This window comes from Homo sapiens, chromosome 14 (assembly GCF_000001405.40).
Source record: "Homo sapiens chromosome 14, GRCh38.p14 Primary Assembly".
NCBI classification, from domain to species: domain Eukaryota; kingdom Metazoa; phylum Chordata; class Mammalia; order Primates; family Hominidae; genus Homo; species Homo sapiens.
The window spans coordinates 75,782,196-75,801,467 of NC_000014.9; the positions used below are offsets into that span (position 1 = coordinate 75,782,196).

The 19,272-nt window shown below is 36.3% G+C and overlaps 1 protein-coding gene across 1 annotated transcript in view; it reads left to right on the forward strand.

Annotated features, from left to right (window-relative positions):
• TTLL5 (tubulin tyrosine ligase like 5) overlaps nt 1-19,272 on the forward strand; it is a 293,834-nt gene that overhangs the window by 120,950 nt on the left and 153,612 nt on the right. Inside the window, exons 25-27 of the mRNA NM_015072.5 lie at nt 292-378; nt 952-1,335; nt 10,721-10,905. Coding sequence (NP_055887.3) covers nt 292-378; nt 952-1,335; nt 10,721-10,905 — 656 coding nt within the window. The remainder of the gene's footprint in view (nt 1-291; nt 379-951; nt 1,336-10,720; nt 10,906-19,272) is intronic.

Genomic DNA, 19,272 nt, shown 5'->3' on the forward strand with positions numbered 1-19,272 from the left:
CAGATAAGCCCTAGCTTGTTGGCTGTCCGTGGATGGCTGCCCTGGGTTTAGGTACCGTTCGCCAGTTCAGTTAACTGTAGCTGGGATTGGGAATAGCTGGGAATCATTTAATTGGTTGCCTACTCCTTAGGGCTGTGGGTGTCTTCATCTTTGGAAAAGTGTGATGAGACGTGCCATGTTTCCCAGCATTGATTAGCAGTTGTGTTATATTTTTGGGAATAAAATTATGTATAGAACAGCGGACTTGCAATTGATTATAAGAGAGTCCAAGCTCATTATTTCTTATTTCAGATCACCCTGAGACTATAATGGAAGAAGTGAAAATAAAGCCACCTAAACAGCAACAGACGACAGAAATTCATTCTGATAAATTATCTCGTGAGTGATTTCAAACCTACCTAGATTTGCTGCTCTCTGATAATTTCCTAAAAGAAGGAAATAGTCATCAGATATTAAATATTTCTAAAGCATGGAACATTACCCCAAAGAAATATTTTTCTTTTTCCTTTTCCCTTAGAATTTTCTCTTATCTATTGATAAGCTATTTTCCTTCCAAAGACTTTTTCGTTTTCTTAAGTTTAGAAATTCTAAGTGCATTCTTTGTTCCTAGAAGGGTGAAAAGAAGGGGGAGAGGAATTAGCTGTTGCTAGTGGAGACTTCATCTTGATGTCCTAACATGTGTAAGACATGCCTGCTCTGTTTCATAGAGGTAGTCCCAACTCCAGCTTTTAGAAAGGAATAAAAGTAAATTCCTATTTCTGTTGCCAGGTTGTTTCTGGTAGGCAAAAATCATTAAGTTTATGATGAACACTCATTAAAGTCTGTATTTTTCATGATTTCTGTTTCATGCCAAGATTATTGTGATGTTTATGTTTTAAAAATATTTGTTTTATAGAGATTGTATGTTTGTTTTTCCTATAATGATGTCTTGTTTTGTTTTGTTTTTAATAGGATTTACCACTTCAGCAGAAAAAGAGGCAAAATTAGTTTATAGCAATTCCTCCTCTGGTCCTACTGCTACTCTGCAGAAAATTCCCAACACCCATTTGTCATCTGTTACAACCTCTGACCTCTCTCCAGGGCCTTGCCACCATTCTTCTTTATCTCAAATTCCTTCAGCTATCCCCAGCATGCCTCACCAGCCAACAATTTTACTGAACACAGTCTCTGCCAGTGCTTCTCCCTGCCTACATCCCGGGGCACAGAACATCCCAAGCCCTACTGGCCTGCCACGCTGTCGATCAGGAAGTCACACCATTGGTCCCTTTTCTTCCTTCCAAAGTGCTGCACACATCTATAGCCAGAAACTGTCTCGTCCCTCTTCAGCAAAGGCAGGTGAGTGAGAGAACGAAAGACAGTCCACAATGTGAGCTCCTCCCCAGCCCCAATAAAGAAAGGATGTCATCTCTTCCCTTTGCCTTTTTTTAAATTTTGAAATGGAAATGGACACACACTGCATTGTTCTGACGTGACTAAAGAAGACTTTTGCATTGCATCCAGTAGCATGCCTTCATTGACACAAAGGGAAACAGGACTTCTTTTAGGTACTGGAGATAAAGAGATGAATCTGACAAGGCTTCTGTTCACTAGGAGCCTACAGCCTAGTCAAGAGATTTCCTGTCACAGATAACCATCTATGAGTGTGCTATATGCATTCTCTGTGCTTCAAATAGTTATTCCCAACATCAGACAAGTTAGTTTTTAGGCAAGAATGACCTGAATAAATAACCAAAGAATTCTTAGAATAGGTTATATCATTTTAACTGAAATAGACCTATAGTGTCAAGTTTGTCCTCCATTTTTTAATAACAGCTTTATTGAGATATAATTTACATTCTATCAAATTCACCCTTTTAAAATGTACAATTCAGTAATTCAGTGGTTATATATATATCTATCTTCACAGACTTGTACATTCGACACCAGTATCTAATTTTAGAACATTTTCATCATCTCCAAAAGAAACCCCATACCTGTTAGCAGCCACGGTCTGTTTCTTCCTCCCCCAAGCCCCTGGCAACCACTGATCTACTTCTCTGTTTTTACAGATTTGTCTATTCTGGACATTTTTATATAAGTAAAATCATATAATAGGTAGTCTTTTGTGAATGGCTGCTTTCTATTCTGGACATTGTATATAAGTAAAATCATAATAGGTGGTCTTTTGTGAATGGCTGCTTTCACTTAGCATAATGTTTTTCAGGTTCATCCACGTTGTAGTAGGAACTTCATTCCCTTTATGGCTGAATAATATTCCATTGTATGGATATACCACAATTTGTTTAGCCATTAGTTGAGGGGCATTTGATTTGTTTATACCTTTTGGCCATTATGAATAATGCTGCTATGAACATTTGTTTGTAAGTTTTCGTGTGGACATATGTTTTTATTTCTCTTGAGTGTATAGCTAGAGTGGAATTGTTGGTTCATATGATAACTTTTTGTATTTCCTCTTTTTGAGGAACTTCTAAACTGTTTTCCAAAGTCGCTGTGCCCTTTTACTAACAGCAATGTTTGAGGGTTCCAGTTTCTCCCTGTCCTTGCCAAAACTATGAGTTGTCTCTGTTTTTGATTTTCACATCCTAATGGGTATGAAATAGTATCTCTTTTTTGTGGTTATGATTTGCATTTCCCTAATGGCTAATGATGTTGAATATCTTTTCATTTGCTTATTGGATTTTTGTATATCTTCTTTGGAGGAATGTCTATTTAAATTATTTGCCCTTTTTAAAATTCATATGTTTTCCTTTTTATTGTTGAATGTAAATGTTCTTTATATACTCTAGATAAAAACCCTTTGTCAGATAGGATTTATAAATATTTTTTCCCTACTTGATGGTTATCTTTTCACTTTCTTGAAGCACAAAAGTTTTAGATTTTAATGATGTCCAGTTTATCTGTTTTTTTTCTATTGTCACTTGTGCTTTTGGTATCATGTCTGGAATACTGTTGCCTAATCAAGTGTCACAGAGATTTCCTCCTTTTTTTTTTTTTTTTTTTTTTTGAGACGGATTGTTGCTGTGCCGCCAGGCTGGAGTGCAGTGGCACGATCTCGGCCCACTGCATCTTCCACCTCCAGGTTCAAGCGATTCTCTTGCCTCAGCCTCCCGAGTAGTTGGGACTACAGGCACATGCCACCATGCTCAGCTAATTTTTGTAGTTTTAGTAGAGGTGGGGTTTCACCATGTTGGCCAGGATGGTCTCGATCTCTTGACCTTGTGATCCACCCACCTTGGCCTCCCCAAAGTGCTGGGATTACAGGCGTGAGCCACTGCGCCCGGCCCCTCCTATGTTTTATAGTTTAGACTCTTACATTTAGGTCTTTTGTCCATTTTCAGTTAATTGTCCTGCATGGTATGATGTAGGGGTCTAACTTCATTCTTCTGCATGTGGATATTCAGTTAAATCAGCATCATTTGTGGAAAAGAGTATTGTTTCCCCATGGGATTGTCTTGGCACTCTTCTCAAAAATCAATTAATTATAAATGTAAAAGTTTATTTTTAAGGCCTCAGTTTTATTCCATTGATCTATATGTCTGACCTTATGCCAATATCACATTGTCTTGATTGCTACAGCATTATAGTAAGTTTTGAAATCACCAAGGATGATTGTTCCAACTTCACTCTTCTTTTTCAAGATTGTTTAGGCTGTTCTGGATCCCTTGCATTTTCATATGAATTTTAGGATCAGCTTGTCAATTTCCTCAAGAAAAGGCAGATGGGATTTTGATAGGATTATTATCTGTGGATCAGTTTGGGGACTATCTTAACATCAGTCAAGATTTAAACACTAGTAATAGCTATGTTAAGGTGAGTTACAGCTAAGACATGTTTTATAAATAGCCAGTCTATATTTCTTAATACCTGTTTTCAAATGAAATGGATATTTTAATATGCAGCTTGAGTCAGAGATATTAAATGGTCCACTTTAATAAGTCATAAATATGAATATATACATATGTATATATCTGCTAATTCTGGGTGATCTTGTTCTTGTGATTTAATTTTCTAAAATCGGTAATAATAATGATCAATAATGTTCTAGTTTGAACTATTTTTTCCCCATGTAAGAAATTCAGTAAGATGAATGTCTTCAGTGGCCTGTGTTATCATAAAAACTTTTTCAAAACCCTCCCTTTTGATCCTTTCCAAGAGAATGATAGTGAACAAAAGAAGTTGGTGAGTTCATAAATATTTTCTGATATCTATTGTGATTTCTTTTTTGACTCTTGGATTATTTATAAATATATTGTTTAATTTTCAGGTAGTTGGGATTCTTTATTTTTGTAATTGGTTTTTAGCTTATTTCCACTGTGGTCAGAGAACATAATCTGAATGGATTAAACAGTAGTAGATGACAATATGCGGACAAAAATATATAATTGACAACAGCCTGTAATTGATTGGAGTTAAATTTTTCTGTGGTAATTGAGTGATTTTGGAATAGGAGTAAGATTTTATTTAACTCTATAGACTTTTTAAAGTTAAATATACAGCATCAAATTTCAAAGGTCATCACTAAAAGAATAAAAGTATAAATTCTAATGGGGAGAAGAAAAATGAATTGTGGATAAAAAACATGCAGAAACTTAGGTGTATGCAAGCAAGAAGCATAGAAAAAGCAAGATAAATAGAAATTTAAAACATAGTAAATTGGCCGGGCACAGCGTCTTATGCCTATAATCCCAGCACTTTCGGAGGCCGAGTTAGGCAGATCGCTTGAGGTTAGGAGTTCAAGACCAGCCTGGCCAACATGGTAAAACCCAATCTCTACTGAAAATACAAAAATTAGCCAGGCATGGTGGCGCTGGCCTGTAGTCCCAGCTACTCAGGAGGTTGAGGCAAGAGAATTGCTTGAACCCGGGAGGCAGAGGTTGAAGTGAGCCAAGATCACACCACTGCACTCCAGCCTGGGCACAGAGCAAGACTCCATCTCAAACAACAAAACAAAACAAAAAACATTGTAAATCAAGTCCAAATATATCAAGAAGCAAATAAACATAAATAGGTTAAACTTGACAGATTTTTAAAGTTTAAAAAAATCCAACTATATGCTGTTTACCAGAGGCACACCTAAGTTTCAGGACACAGAACGTTTAAAAGTAAAAAATTGAAAAAAGAAATACGAGATGAGTACTAACCAGAAGAAAGTTGGTATGGTTGCATTAATATATGCTGAAATAGGCTTGAAGATATAAAACTTTCTTACAGATAAAGAGTAACTACATAATGACAAAAGGTTCAGTTCAGTCAAAAGTTAAACAATTCTAAAAGTGTCTGCACCTCATAAAATAGCCTCCAAATATGTAACACAAAAATGGAAACAACCACATGAAGAATGTATAAATCCACTATCTTAGTGGGTGATTTCCACATACTTCTATTAATTATTAATACACTAAACAGATTTTTAAAATGCAGAAAGGATAAAGAGGATTTGAACAAGATGATAAGATTATTTATTGATAATATATAGGACCGTGTACCCAATAATTAGACAAAACGCCTCAAGCGTACATGATATATTTATAAAAATCTGTCATACCCTACATCATAAACAAGAGAACAAATTGCAGAGACTTGGTATCACACAGCCACATTCTTTGTCCACATTGCAATTAAGTTGAAAGTCAGTAACAAAAAGATATAGAAGAAACCCCCATGTATTTCAAAATTTAAGAGTCAAAGAAGAAATCCTGATGGAAGTAAATTATTAAGTTTTAGAACTGAATGATAATGAAAAAGCTGTATGTCCAAATAAGTAGAGAGCAATGCAAGTCAGTATTTGAAGGGAAATTTACTGGCTTAAATAATTATAGTTGGTGTGCACCTGTAGTCCAAGCTCCCTAGGAGGCTGAGGTGGGAGGATTGCTTGAGCGCAGGAGTTCGAGACCAGTCTGGGCAACATAGCGAGATCCCATCTCTAAAAATAAATAAATAAATAAGTAAATAAGTAAATAAAAACTTATATTTGAAAAGAAGACAGGCTGGAAATTAATGTGCTAAATGTCTGGCTTTAGACATTATAAAAACAACAGTATCATAAATCTAAATAAAGGATAAAGAAATATAAAGATAAGAGCAATAATTATAGAATTCAAAAATAAGGCACAGTAGAGGGTGGCAAAGCCAAAAGTGATTTTTTGAAAAGCCTAATAAAATGGACAAACCTCTGATGACACCTATCAAGAAAAAAGAGAAGACATGGATAAATAATATAAGGAGTAGAAAAGCAGACATAGAAAATATAAATACACCCAAAATGACAAAAATAATGTAATCTTAACTTTATTCCAATAAAATTGAAAGCTTACATAAAATGGACCAAACTCATACAAACTATAACTTATGTAAAAATGACTCAAGAAGATGAAGAAAGTCTGAATAGTCCTATAAGTATTTTAAAAAGTGATACAGTAGTTGAAAGTCTTAAAGAAAACATAAGGCCTAGATTTATGGGTAAGTTCTAATCTTTCAAAAGGTAGATAATTTCAATATATTTTTAAAAAAACTCTTCTGGAGTGTGGAAAAAGAGAATTTTCCTCAACTTATTCTGTATGGCTAGTTTTATCTTAATAATACAAACAGTTAAGGACAGTATTAAAAAGGAAAATTACAGACTGGCTTTATTTATTAACACAAATGCAAAAATTTGAATCAAAATAAAAGCCAATCAACTCTAGCAACATCTAAAAGAGGTAGTACACCATGAGCAAGTTTATTCAAGGAATGTAAGAGGGGTTTAACATTAGTAAACCTATAAATATCATTTGCCATGTAAATATAATAAAGAAAAAACCATATTCTTCATCATGGTACATGCAGAAAAAGAATTCGATAAAATTCTGCACTCATTCATGATGATAACTCTCAGCTCATTAGGAAGAGAAGGAGATTCTCTTAAAAAAAGGGTATTTGCCAAAAACCTGCAAGAGCTATCAGCCTAAATACGGAAATGTTGAAAGCATTCTCTTTAACATTGAGAACAAGTAAGGATGCCCATTAACATTCCTTCTGTCCAGTGTTTTACTGGAGATCAGAACCAACATAGTAAGATAAGAAAAAGAAATTATAAGCATAAGGATCATCCCTTCTTAGCCTTTTGGCTAAGATCAAGTATAAGCATAAGGATCAAAAAAGAGGAAACAAAATTGTGTAATTGCAGATAATATATTGTCTACATAGAAAACAAAGTAATTACAGATACATTTTAGAAATAGTTATTTTAGCATAAGATCAATATTTAAAAATTAATTGCTTTCAAAATTACTTGCCAGAAGTGACAGAAAACAATTTTTTGATTGTAGCAAAATATAAATAACATAAAATTTAACATTGAACTATTTTAAATTCAGTGGCATTCAGTACAGTCACACTTTTGCAGCCATCACCACCAATAAAAATGTTTTTAAAAATATCACTAATAATAGCATAAAAACTGTGTTACCTAGGAATACATTTAGAAAGGAAAGGAAGTTTTATAAGACTACATTGAAAGACACAGATATTAGACATTAACAAAAATTTAAATAAATGGATAAATATACCACGTACATGCATAGGAAGACTCAATATCATCAAAGTTTCCATTTTCATCACATTGATCTCTGTATTCAATACGGTTCCAATCAAAATCTCAACAAGTGTGTCATTGGATTTTTTAAGCCTATTCTAAAATGATAATAGAAAGGCAAAGAGCCAAGAATAGTGAGAACCTACTGAAGAAGAAAAATAAGGTGGAGGAGCACCTTATTAATATAAAGGTCTGATACTTAAGACAGTGTGGTATTGGCAAATGTGTAGACAGATTGACCAGTGGAACAGAATAGAAAGTTAGAAACAGTCACACAAGAAGATGGAAATTTCATGTATGACAGAGATGGCATTGTAGATCAGAAGAAAGGGAGAGATGTCTCAATAAATGCTTCTGGGGTAATTGTTATCCCCACAGAGAAAGATGAAATTAGATCCCTGCCTCACACCATGTATAAAATCAATTTCAGTTGTAAAACTTCCATACTGAAATAAAATAATAAAATAAAGGAGACCATCATTAAGAACTTGTGGTATGGAGCAAAAGTAAAAACAAAAACACAAATCGTGTAAGTCAATAAGAAAAAGATAGCCCAATAGAAAAATGATACCAGAAAAGAGGTAGCATGTTCAACATCATCATTAATCAGGTACATGAAGACTACAATGGGAAGAATTAAGACACTTGACAATACTAAGTGTTGAAGAGGCTATGGATCAACAGGAATTTTCTTTCTTTTTTTCTTTTTTTTTTTTAATTTGAGACAGGGTCTCACTCTGTCACCCAGGCTGGAGTTTAGTGGTGCAATCATGGCTCACTGCAGCCTTGACCTCCCAGGGCTTAAGCAATCCTCACACCTCAGCCTCCTGAGTAACTGGGACTACAGGCCCATGTCCCCACACCCAGCTAAGTTTTTGTAGAGAAGAGATCTCACTTTGTTGCCTAATCTGGTCTCGAACTTCTGTGCTAAAGTGGCCCTCCTGCCTCAGCCTCCCAAAGTGCTGGGATTACAGGTGTGAGCCACCATTCCCGGCCCAGGAACTTTTTTATTTTGTTTGTTGGAGTGTAAAAAAATACCATTTTGGGGCCGGGTGCGGTGGCTCACGCTTGTAATCCCAGCACTTTGGGAGGCCAAGGCAGACGGATCACGAGGTCAGGAGATCAAGACCATCCTGGCTAACACGGTGAAACCCCATCTCTACTAAAAAAAAAAAAAAAAAAGAAAAATTACCCGGGCCTGGTGGCGGGTGCCTGTAGTCCCAGCTACTCGGGAGGCTGAGGCGGGAGATTGGCGTGAACCTGGGAGGCGGAGCTTGCAGTGAGCCAAGATCGCGCCACTGCGCTTCAGCCTGGGTGACAGAGCAAGACTCTGTCTCAAAAAAAAAAAAAAAAAAATACCACTTTGGTATTACTACATAAACTTGAAAATTTACATACTTTGTGACCCAACAATTCCACTCCTGGGCATATACAAGAGGAGCTTTTCTATACGTGTGCCAGCAGATGTATGCAAGGGTGTTTATGGCTGCGTTGTTTATAATGGCAATATGCTTGAAATAACCACAATACCCATTGATAGGGGAATAGAAATATAAGTTGTGGTGTATTTATAAAATGGAATGCCAGACAGCAAGGAAAATGAATGACTTTCAGCTGTATTTATCTAGGATTAATCTTGGAAGAGTAGAGTTGAATAACAGAGCAAGTCCCAGGAAATATCTATATTAGGATACCATTTTTGTAGATCTCAAAAACGAGCAAAATTATCTGGTATTTTGTTTGTATATGCATATACACACAAATATATTTGATAAAACTTTTTTTTTTAAAAGAATGTTTGATAAGGGGAGATTAGGAATGGGGAGGAACAACCACATAGGTTAGTACATATTGTTGATAATGTAATTCCTGGGTTGGGTAGTGAGTTCACAGGTGTTCATTACAGTATGCATATAACTACATATACAGCTATTATAAATATTTTGTATGTACTAAATAATATAGTAAACGTGAAAAAGTTACAGATTCAGAAAATCAGTTGTATATGCAGAATGATCATTGTTATATTAGCATTAATTTTAAAAAGACAGGAAATAGGTTATATTATTTCTACTTTTCTGAGTTTAAAGATTTTTTTTGAAGAGATGTGACTTTTACAATCAGGAAAAATGTGAATTTTTATTTTATTTTATTTTTAGAGACAGGTTCTCTTTCTGTCACACAGGCTGGAGTGCAGTGGCATGATCATAGCTCACTGTAACCTTGAACTCCTGGGCTTAAGCAATCCTCCTGCCTCAGCCTCCCAAGTAGCTGGGACTATAAGCATGAGCCACTGTGCTCAGCTGAATCTTGATTTTATATTAAATAATTTCTTTTTGCCAGAATTTCAGTGCTTAAATAATAGAATGCTCTGATATTACAGTTGAAAGAAGAAAATTTAAATCTGAAAGGGAAATCAGTCATTTGAAAATATACACACACTGGGGCCTATCATGGGGTGGGGGGAGGGGGGAGGGATAGCATTAGGAGATATACCTAATGTAAATGACGAGTTAATGGGTGCAGCACACCAACATGGCACATGTATACATATGTAACAAACCTGCACGTTGTGCACATGTACCCTAGAACTTAAAGTATAATAATAATAAAAAAGAAAACATGTTTTGACTAAAAATATAAAAAAAAAAAGAAAATATAAGATTATTGTTATTTTTCTGAGTATACTCGATTTTGTTTTTATCCCTGTTTCCCTTTTGAGCTTTCTAAGTATTATGGATGATTTGACAGTGGATGCCACAGACTGTTGACAAGTACAGTTACATAACAAGAAAAACAAGAATTATAATGAGTTTCAAATATGTATTTTTTATTCAGTAAGATTAGCAAATTATAGGATTGGTATTCCCCACTACATATAATGAAAATTCTTCTTTGTGAAGCTTTCATTATAAGCAAAAACATATTAATAAATAATGCATGTGGCAGTTTGGTAATAGGAAGAGTTTCTAGGTTATGGTAACCATTTATTTTTGTGATCATTTGAAGATAGTTTATTTCTCCTATATTATTAAAGATCCTTAGGGTTCAGTAAAGTATCTGTTGACCTGAGATTTCTGTCATTATCCTAATTTTTTTCAGGCCTTTTTTTCCTAAATGAGTGAAAACTTTTCTCCGTTTTAGCAGGATCGTGCTATCTAAACAAGCATCATTCAGGAATAGCCAAAACACAAAAAGAGGGAGAAGATGCTTCTTTATATAGCAAACGGTACAACCAAAGTATGGTTACAGCTGAACTTCAGCGGCTAGCTGAGAAGCAGGCAGCGAGACAGTATTCTCCATCCAGCCACATCAACCTCCTCACCCAACAGGTACGGATGGTCTGGGGTGTCCAAGAGCTCTTTGGACCTGAGGATAGAATTAATGACAGGGTACTTTGTCTTTCCCTGTCTTTACTATTCCCATATACTGATGCCTCTTGAATGAGTATTATTAATAGTTGGTTTCAAGCTAAATTATCAAGTTTTTCCTCTTCAAATTTAAAGAAAATAACTTTCTGTTACAGGCATTGTGAAGTAAGTCTGCTACTGGATATGATGTACCTATTTCATGGATAAACAGACTTGAATGTTCATCTGTAAATATAATTTTAAAGGATCTTTAAAAATAAGTTCTTTTCTTTGGTAAAATTTTCCAGTGAGTTCTAGTCTTATAAATCTTTTTACCAGAATTTTATAACATTACCCTTTAAAAAAATTTTTTTCTATACTGCCTCTTATTTCATGATCTCAGGATGTTTTATGGGTAACTGATTAATTTCATATTTCATTATACCCTTATCCAATATAATATCATTCTCCCCATTTTACAGATGGGGGAACCTGAGGCTGAAATAAGTGATGTGATCAAGGTCATTCAACAAGCTGGGTGGATAGAAATAAATAACAGGATATTGTCCTTATGCTATATAGATATTAACAATCTTGCAACACAGTGAAGGTAGATGACACTTTCAAGAGCTTTGTGAATTCTCTTTGTCCTTCTTGCTGGTTATCCCTATGGTGTTTAATTGAAGGAAAAGCCATATCTCTTATTCCTTAATGTTAAATGGCATCAAAGTCCTCCAAAGGAATTATCATAATTTAACTCCACAGTTATATTTTGCTATGTTGCTGATGTGCCAAATTCCTTAATTGGTAGTAACTCTGTAGTGATAATCAAGTCTCGAAAAAAGTGAAGCTGAAAATTACTTTAAGTACATGCTAAAAGTAGGCAACACACTGCTCCCTGGTGGTACCCTACTTATCTGTATAAAATTTAGGACCAAAACTAAAGCTAAGCCTCTCATGGAATTAGTTTTACTTCAGCCTCATCCCAGCGTGTGAAGCAGTAATTATTTTCTTTCTCAAATCCTTAGTTGTTTGAAGGGAGTAAATAAGAAGGCCTAATGTGAAATAGGAAGCAAAGAATATTATAAGAACAATGTTGATTCTTGGAGGGAGTTGGGTAGTTAGATTTTAGTGATAGAATTATGGGAAGAGGGAATAGGATACTAAGATATGATGGGAAGGAATTTTCAAATTAAATAAGTGGCTATGAGACGGGAAAGGCCAGTGCTCTGCTACACTTTTATCATTGGGTCACTAACTAGATTATATGTTTCCGGTTTATAAATGGGCAGCTAGAAGCACCAAGACATTGAGATTTTGTGATTGTAGTAAAAAAAAAAAAAAAATACCCAAAATAGCCAATATTAGTGCTTACCTATCTAGCTCCTATCGTTCACTAGACTGCAAAGCCTACAAAGTGAAAAGATCCTAATCCTGTAGGAATCCAAGGTGACTGTATCCTGATTGGGAAGTCATCCCCCTTCAGTTCATTTTTTTCGTCTATAAAGAACTTCAGTGCCAGCGAATTAAAAGTCCATTAGACTATGGTTTGTAGGGATCTGAACTTGCCATTAGATGTCAGTGTTAACTTTTAGAGTCTTGGTAATAGGGTGGTCAGTACTGAGGGAGGTGCTGTAGGATGTAATAAGCAGGATGGAGTAGTGGAGAAAGAGCTAGATTAGCCATCCAGAGACTTGCCACTGACTCCTGTGTGATCTTGAGCAGTTCACTCCATTGTTATTCTGACACTGACTCCTGTATGATCTTTGGCAGTTCATGCCACTGTTCTGTCACTGATTAGCTATGTGATCTTGGACAGTTCACTCTACTCTTCTGACACTGACTAGCTGTGTGATCTTGGGCAGTTCACCCCACTGTTCTCCTGCCACTGACTCCTGTGTGATATTGGGCAGTTAATTCCATTGTTCTGACACTGACTAGCTGTGTGATCTTGGACAGTTCATTCTACTCTTCTGACACTGACTAGCTGTGTGATCTTGGACAGTTCACTCTACTGTTCTCCTGCCACTGACTAGCTGTGTGATCTTGAGCAGTTCACTCAACTTCTCTTAACCTCAGGGTCTTCACTGATTGATGAGGAAAATACAACAGGGTCATGAGGATATTATGCAAAACCTCTAAATGCAATATATGTGGAAAATATTGTTATTTCAGCCATAAAAGGCTTTCAATAGTAAATGGCTTCTAATTTGGTTAGAAACAAGTTTTTAGATAAAGTGTACTTTTTAGTAGTTTTTCAAAAATTATTGTGGGTACATAGGTGTATATATTTATGGGGTACATACGATTTTTTTTATTTCAGTAGGTTTTTGGGGGAACAGGTGGTGTTTGGTTACATGGATAAGCTCTCTAGTGGTGATTTCCAAGATTTTGGTGCACCTATCACCCAAGTAGTGTACACTGTACCCAATGTGCAGTCTTTTATTCTTCACCCTCCTTCCACCCTTCCCCCCAAGTCCCCAAAGTCCATTATATAATCCTTGTACCTTTGTGTCCTCATAGCTTAGCTCCTACTTATAAGTGAGAACATATGATGTCTGGTTTTCCATTCCTGAGTTACTTCACTTAGAATAATGGTCTCCAGCTCCCTCCAGGTTGCTGCGAATACCATTATTTTGTTCCTTTTTATGGATGAGTAGTAGTCCATGGTGTATATATATACACACCACATTTTCTTTATCTACTCATTGATTGATAGACATTTGGGCTGGTTCCATATTTTTGCAATTGCAAATTGTGTTGCTATAAATATGCATGTGCAAGTATCTTTTTCATATAATGACTTCTTTTCCTCTGGGTAGATACCCAGTAGTGGGATTACTGGATCAAATGGTAGATCTACTTTTAGTTCTTTAAGGAATCTCCATAGTGTTTTCCATAATGGTTGTACTAGTTTACATTCCCACCAACAGTGTAAAAGTGTTCCCTTTTCACCTCTTCCATGCCAACATCTATTATTTTTTGACTTTTTAATTATAGCCATTCTTGCAGGAGTAAGGTAGTATTGCATTGTGGTTTTGATTTGCATTTCCCTGATAATAAGTGATGTTGAGCATTTTCTCATATGTTTGTTGGATATTTGTATATCTTCTTTTGAGAATTGTCTATTCATGTCCTTAGCCTTTTTGATGGAATTATTTTTTTCTTGCTGATTTGTTTGAGTTCCTTGTAGATTCTGGCTATTAGTCCTTTGTTGGATGCATAGTTTGTGAAGATTTTCTCCCACTGTGTGGGTTGTCTGTTTCCTTGCTGATTATTTCTTTTGCCTGCAGAAGCTTTTTAGTTTAATTAAATTCTATCTATTTATCTTTGTTTTTGTTGCATTTGCTTTTGGGGTCTTGGCCATGAAGTCTTTGCCTAAGCCAGTGTCTAGAAGGGTTTTTCTGATGTTATCTTCTAGAATTTTTATGGTTTCAGGTCTTAGATTTAAGTCTTTCATCTATCTTGAGTTGATTTTTGTGTAAGGTGAGAGATGAGGATCCAGTTTCATTCTTCTACATGTGGCTTGCCAGTTATGCTAGCACCATTTGTTGAATAGGGTGTCCTTTCCCCAGGTTATGTTTTTTGTTTGCTTTGTCAAAGATCAGTTGGCTGTTAAGTATTTGACTTTATTTCTGGGTTTTCTATTCTGTTCTATTGGTCTATGTGCCTATTTTTATACCAGTACCATGCTGTTTTGGTAACTATATCCTTTTAGTATAGTTTGAATTTGGGTAATGTGATGCCTCTAGATTTGTTCTTTTTGCTTAGTTGTGTTTTGGCTATGCAGGCTCTTTTTTGGTTCCATATGAATTTCAGGATTGTTTTTTCTAGTTCTGTGAAGAATGATGATGGTATTAAATTGCACTGAATTTGTAGATTGCTTTTGGCAGTGTGGTCATTTTCACAATATTGATTCTACCCATCCATGAGCATGGGATGTGTTTCCATTTGTTTGTGTCATCTGTGATTCCTTTCAGCAGTGTTTTGTAGTTTTCCTTGTAGAGGTCTTTCACGTCCTTGGTTAGGTATATCCGTAAGTATTTTATTTTATTTTTTGCAGCTGTTGTAAAAGGGGTTAAATTCTTGATGTGATTCTCAGCTTGGCGGCAGTTGGTGTATAGCAGTGCTACTGATTTGTGTACATTGATTTTGTATCCTGAAACTTTACTGAATTTATTTATTAGATCTAGGAGCTTTTTGGGTGAACCTTTATGGTTTTCTAGGTATATGATCATATTGGCAAACAGCAACAGTTTGACTTCCTCTTTAATGATTTGAATGCCCTTATTTCTCTTGTCTGATTGCTTTGGCTAGGACTTCCAGAACTATGTTGAATAGAAGTGGTGAAATGGGCATTCTTGTCTTGTTCCAGTTTTCAAGGGGAATATATTCAACTTTTCTACTTTTGGTATAATGTTGGTTGTGGGTTTGTCATAGATGGCTTTTATTACCTTAAGGTATGTCCATTTTATGCCAATTTTGTTGAGGGTTTTAATCATGAAGAGATGCTGGATTTTGTCAGATGCTTTTTCTGTGTCTGTTGAGATTACCATGTGATTTTTGTCTTTGATTCTGTTTATGTGGTATATCACATTTATTGACTTGCGTATGTTAAACCATGCCCGCATCCCTGGTATGAAACTCACTTGATGAAGGTGGATTATCTTTTTGATATGCTGTTGGATTAGGTTAGTGGCAGAAACTGCAATTACTTGTGTAACAACCTAGAATTTTGTTGGGGATTTTTGCATCTGTATTCATCAGAGATATTGGTCTGTAGTTTTCTTTTTTTGTTAATGTCCTTTCCTGGGTTTGGTATTAGGGTGTTACTGGCTTTATAGAATTATTTAGGGAGGATTCTCTTTTTCTCTGTCTTTTGGAATAGTTTCAATAAGATTCGTCTAATTCTTCTTGAATGCCTGATGGAATTCAGCTGTGAATCCATCTGGTCCTGGACTTCTTTTTATTGGCAATTTTTAAATTGCCATTTCAATATTGCTGCTTGCTGTTATCTGTTCAGAGTTTTTATTTATTCCTGGTTTAATCTAGAAGGGTTGTATATTTCCAGGAATTTATCCGTCTCCTCTAGGTTTTCTAGTTTGTGCACGTAAAGGTGTTCATAGTAGCCTTGAGTTATCTTTTGTATTTCTGTGGTGTTGGTTGTACTATCTCTTGCTTCCCTTCTAATTGAGTTTATTTGGATCTTCTCTCTTCTTTTCTTCTTCTCTTCTAATCTTGCTAGTGGTCTGTCAATTTTGTTTATTTATTTTTTTTTCAAAGAACCAGATTTTTGTTTCATTTATCTTTTGTATTGGGTTTTTTTGTTTGTATCAATTTTATTTAGTTATGCTCTGATCTTTGTTATTTCTTTTCTTCTGCTGGATTTCAGTTTGGTTTGTTCTTGTTTCTCTAGTTCTCTGAGATGTGACCTTAGATTGTCTATTTGAGCTCTTTCAGGCTTTTTGATGTAGGCATTTAAAGCTATGAACTTTCGTCTTAGCACCGCTTTTGCTGTATCCCAGAGATTTTGATAGGTTGTGTCACTGTTATCATTCAGCTCAAGGAATTTTTACATTTCCATATTGATTTCATTGTTGACCCAATGACCATTCAGGAGCAGACTATTTAATTTCCATGTACTTGCATGGTGTTGAGGGTTCCTTTTGGAGTTGATTTCCAGTTTTATTACATTGTGGTCTGAGAGAATACTTGATATAATTTTGATTTTCTTAAGTTTGTTGAGACTCGTTTTGTGGCCTATCTTGTGGTCTATCTTGGAGAATATTTCATGTGCTGATGAATAGAATGTGTATTCTGCAGTTGCTGGGTAGAATGTTCTGTAAATATCCGTTAACTCCATTTGTTCTAGGGTATGGTTTATGTCTGTTGTCTCTTTGTTGACTTTCTGTGTTGATGACCTGCCTAGTGCTGTCAGTGGAGTATTGAAGTTTCCCACTATTATTGTGTTGTTGTCTATCTCATTTCTTAGGTCTAGTAGTAATTGTTTTATGAATTTGGGAGCTCCAGTGTTAGGCGCATATGTATTTAGGATTGTGATATTTTCCTATTGGACTAGTCCTTTTATCATTACGTAATGTCCCTCTTTGTCTCTTTAAACTGTTATTGCTTTGAATCTTTAAAGTTTGCTTTGTCTGATGTAAGAATAGCTACTTCTGCTCACTTCCGTTATCCATTTGCATGGAATATCTTTTTTCACTCCCTTACCTTAAGTTTATGTGAGTTTATGTGTTAGATGAGTTTCCTGAACTTATATGTTAGTTGAGTTTCTTGAAGACAGCAGATTTTGTATCTTTTAAGGGGAACATTTAGGCCATTTACATTCAACATTATTATTGAGATGTGAGGCACTATTCTGTTCATCATGCTAGTTGTTGCCTGAATACCTGGTGATTTTTGCATTGTGTTATTGTTTTATAGGCCCTGTAGGATTTGTGCTTTATGGAGGTTCTATTTTGGTGTATTTCGAGGTTTTGTCTCAAGATTTAGAACTTTCTTTAGCAGTTTGTGTAGTGCTGGCTTGGTAGTGGCTAATTCTCTCAGCATTTGTTTGTCTGAAAAAGACTATCTTTCCTTCATTTATGAAGCTTCGTTTCACTGGATACAAGATTGTTGGCTGATAATTGTTTTGTTTAAGGAGGCTAAACATAGGACCCCACTCCCTTCTAGCTTTTAGGGTTTCTGCTGAGAAATCTGGTGTTAATCTAATAGGTTTTCCTTTATAGGTTACCTCATGCTTTTGCCTATAGCTCTTAAGAGTCTTTCCTTTGTCTTGACTTTAGATAACCTGATGACTATGTGTCTAAGTGATTATCTTTTTGCGATGAATTTCCCAGGTGTTCTTTGAGCTTCTCCTGTTTGGATGTCTCGATCTTTGGCAAGGCCAGGGAAGTTCTCCTCGATTATTCCCCCAAATAAGTTTTCCAAACTTTTAGATTTCTCTTCTTCCTCGGGAACACCAGTTATTCTTAGGTTTGGTCGTTTAACATAATCCCAAACTTCTTGGAGGCTTTGTTCATTTTTGGGGATGCCTTTTTCTTTGTCTTTGTTGGATTGGGTTAATCAAAAGCCTTGTCTTCGAGCTCTGAAGTTCTTTCTTCTACTTTTTTGATTCTATTGTTGAAACTTTCCAGTGTATTTTGCATCTCTTTAAGTGTGTCTTTTATTTCCAGGAGTTATGATTGTTTTTTATCGATGCTCTCTATTTCCCTGGAGATTTTTTGGTCCATGTCCTGTATTATTATTATTTTTTTAGTTTCTTTAAATTGGTTTCCACCTTTCCCTGGTGCCTCCTTAAATAGGTAAATAATCGACCTTTTGAGTTCTTTTTCTGGCAACTTAGAAATTTCTTCTTTGGATCCGTTGCTAGTGAGCTAGTGTGATCTTTTGGGAGTGTTAAAGAACCTTGCCTTGTCATATTACCAGAATTGTTTTTCCGGTTCCTTCTCATCTGGGTAGTCTGTATCAGAGGGTCTGGGTTGAAGGGCTGCTGTTCAGATTCTTTTGTCCCACTGGTTGGTTCCTTGATGTGGTGTTCTCTTCTTCCCCTAGTAGGGATGGGGCTTCCTGAGAGCCAAACTGCAGTGATTGTTACTGCCCTTCTGGGTCTAGCCCCCCAGCAGAGCTGCTGGGCTCTGGGCTGGTACTGGCAAGTTTCTGTGAAGAGTCCTGTGATGTGATCCATCTTCAGGTCTCTCAGCCATGGATACCAGCACCTGATCTGGTGGAGGTAGCAGGGGAGTGAGCTCTGTGGACTCTGTGAGGGTCCTTTGTTGTAGTTTTGTTCAGTGAGCTGGTTTTCTTGAGCGCTGGTTGTGCTAGTGGTTTTTTGACCTCCAGCCAGGAGGTGGCGCTTTCAAGAGAGCATCAGCTGATACAAGCTTGCCCTAAGGTCGCCTTGGTTAAGTATTTGAGTGTCTCAGGTGGTGGGCGGGGCCACAGAGCTCCCAAGATATTACGTCTTTTTTCTTCAGCTACCAGGACAGGTAGAGAAAGACCATCAGGTTGGGGCAGAGTTAGGCATGCCCAAGCTCAGAGACTCTCCTTGGACAGGGCTTGCTGCTTTTGCTGTGGGGGATGGGGGTGTGGTTCTCAGGCCCATGGAGTTACGTTCCCAGAGGGATTATGGCTGCCCCTGCTGCATCATACAGGTCACCAGGGAAGTAGGGGAAAGCCAGCAGTGGCAGACCTCACCCATTTCCCACGCAGCCAACAAGGCCAATCTCCTGGGGTGCATAAGATATTTTGATACAGGCATATAGTGTGTGTTGATCATATCAGGGTAAAGGTGTCCATCACCTCAAGCATTTATCCTTTCTTTGTATTACA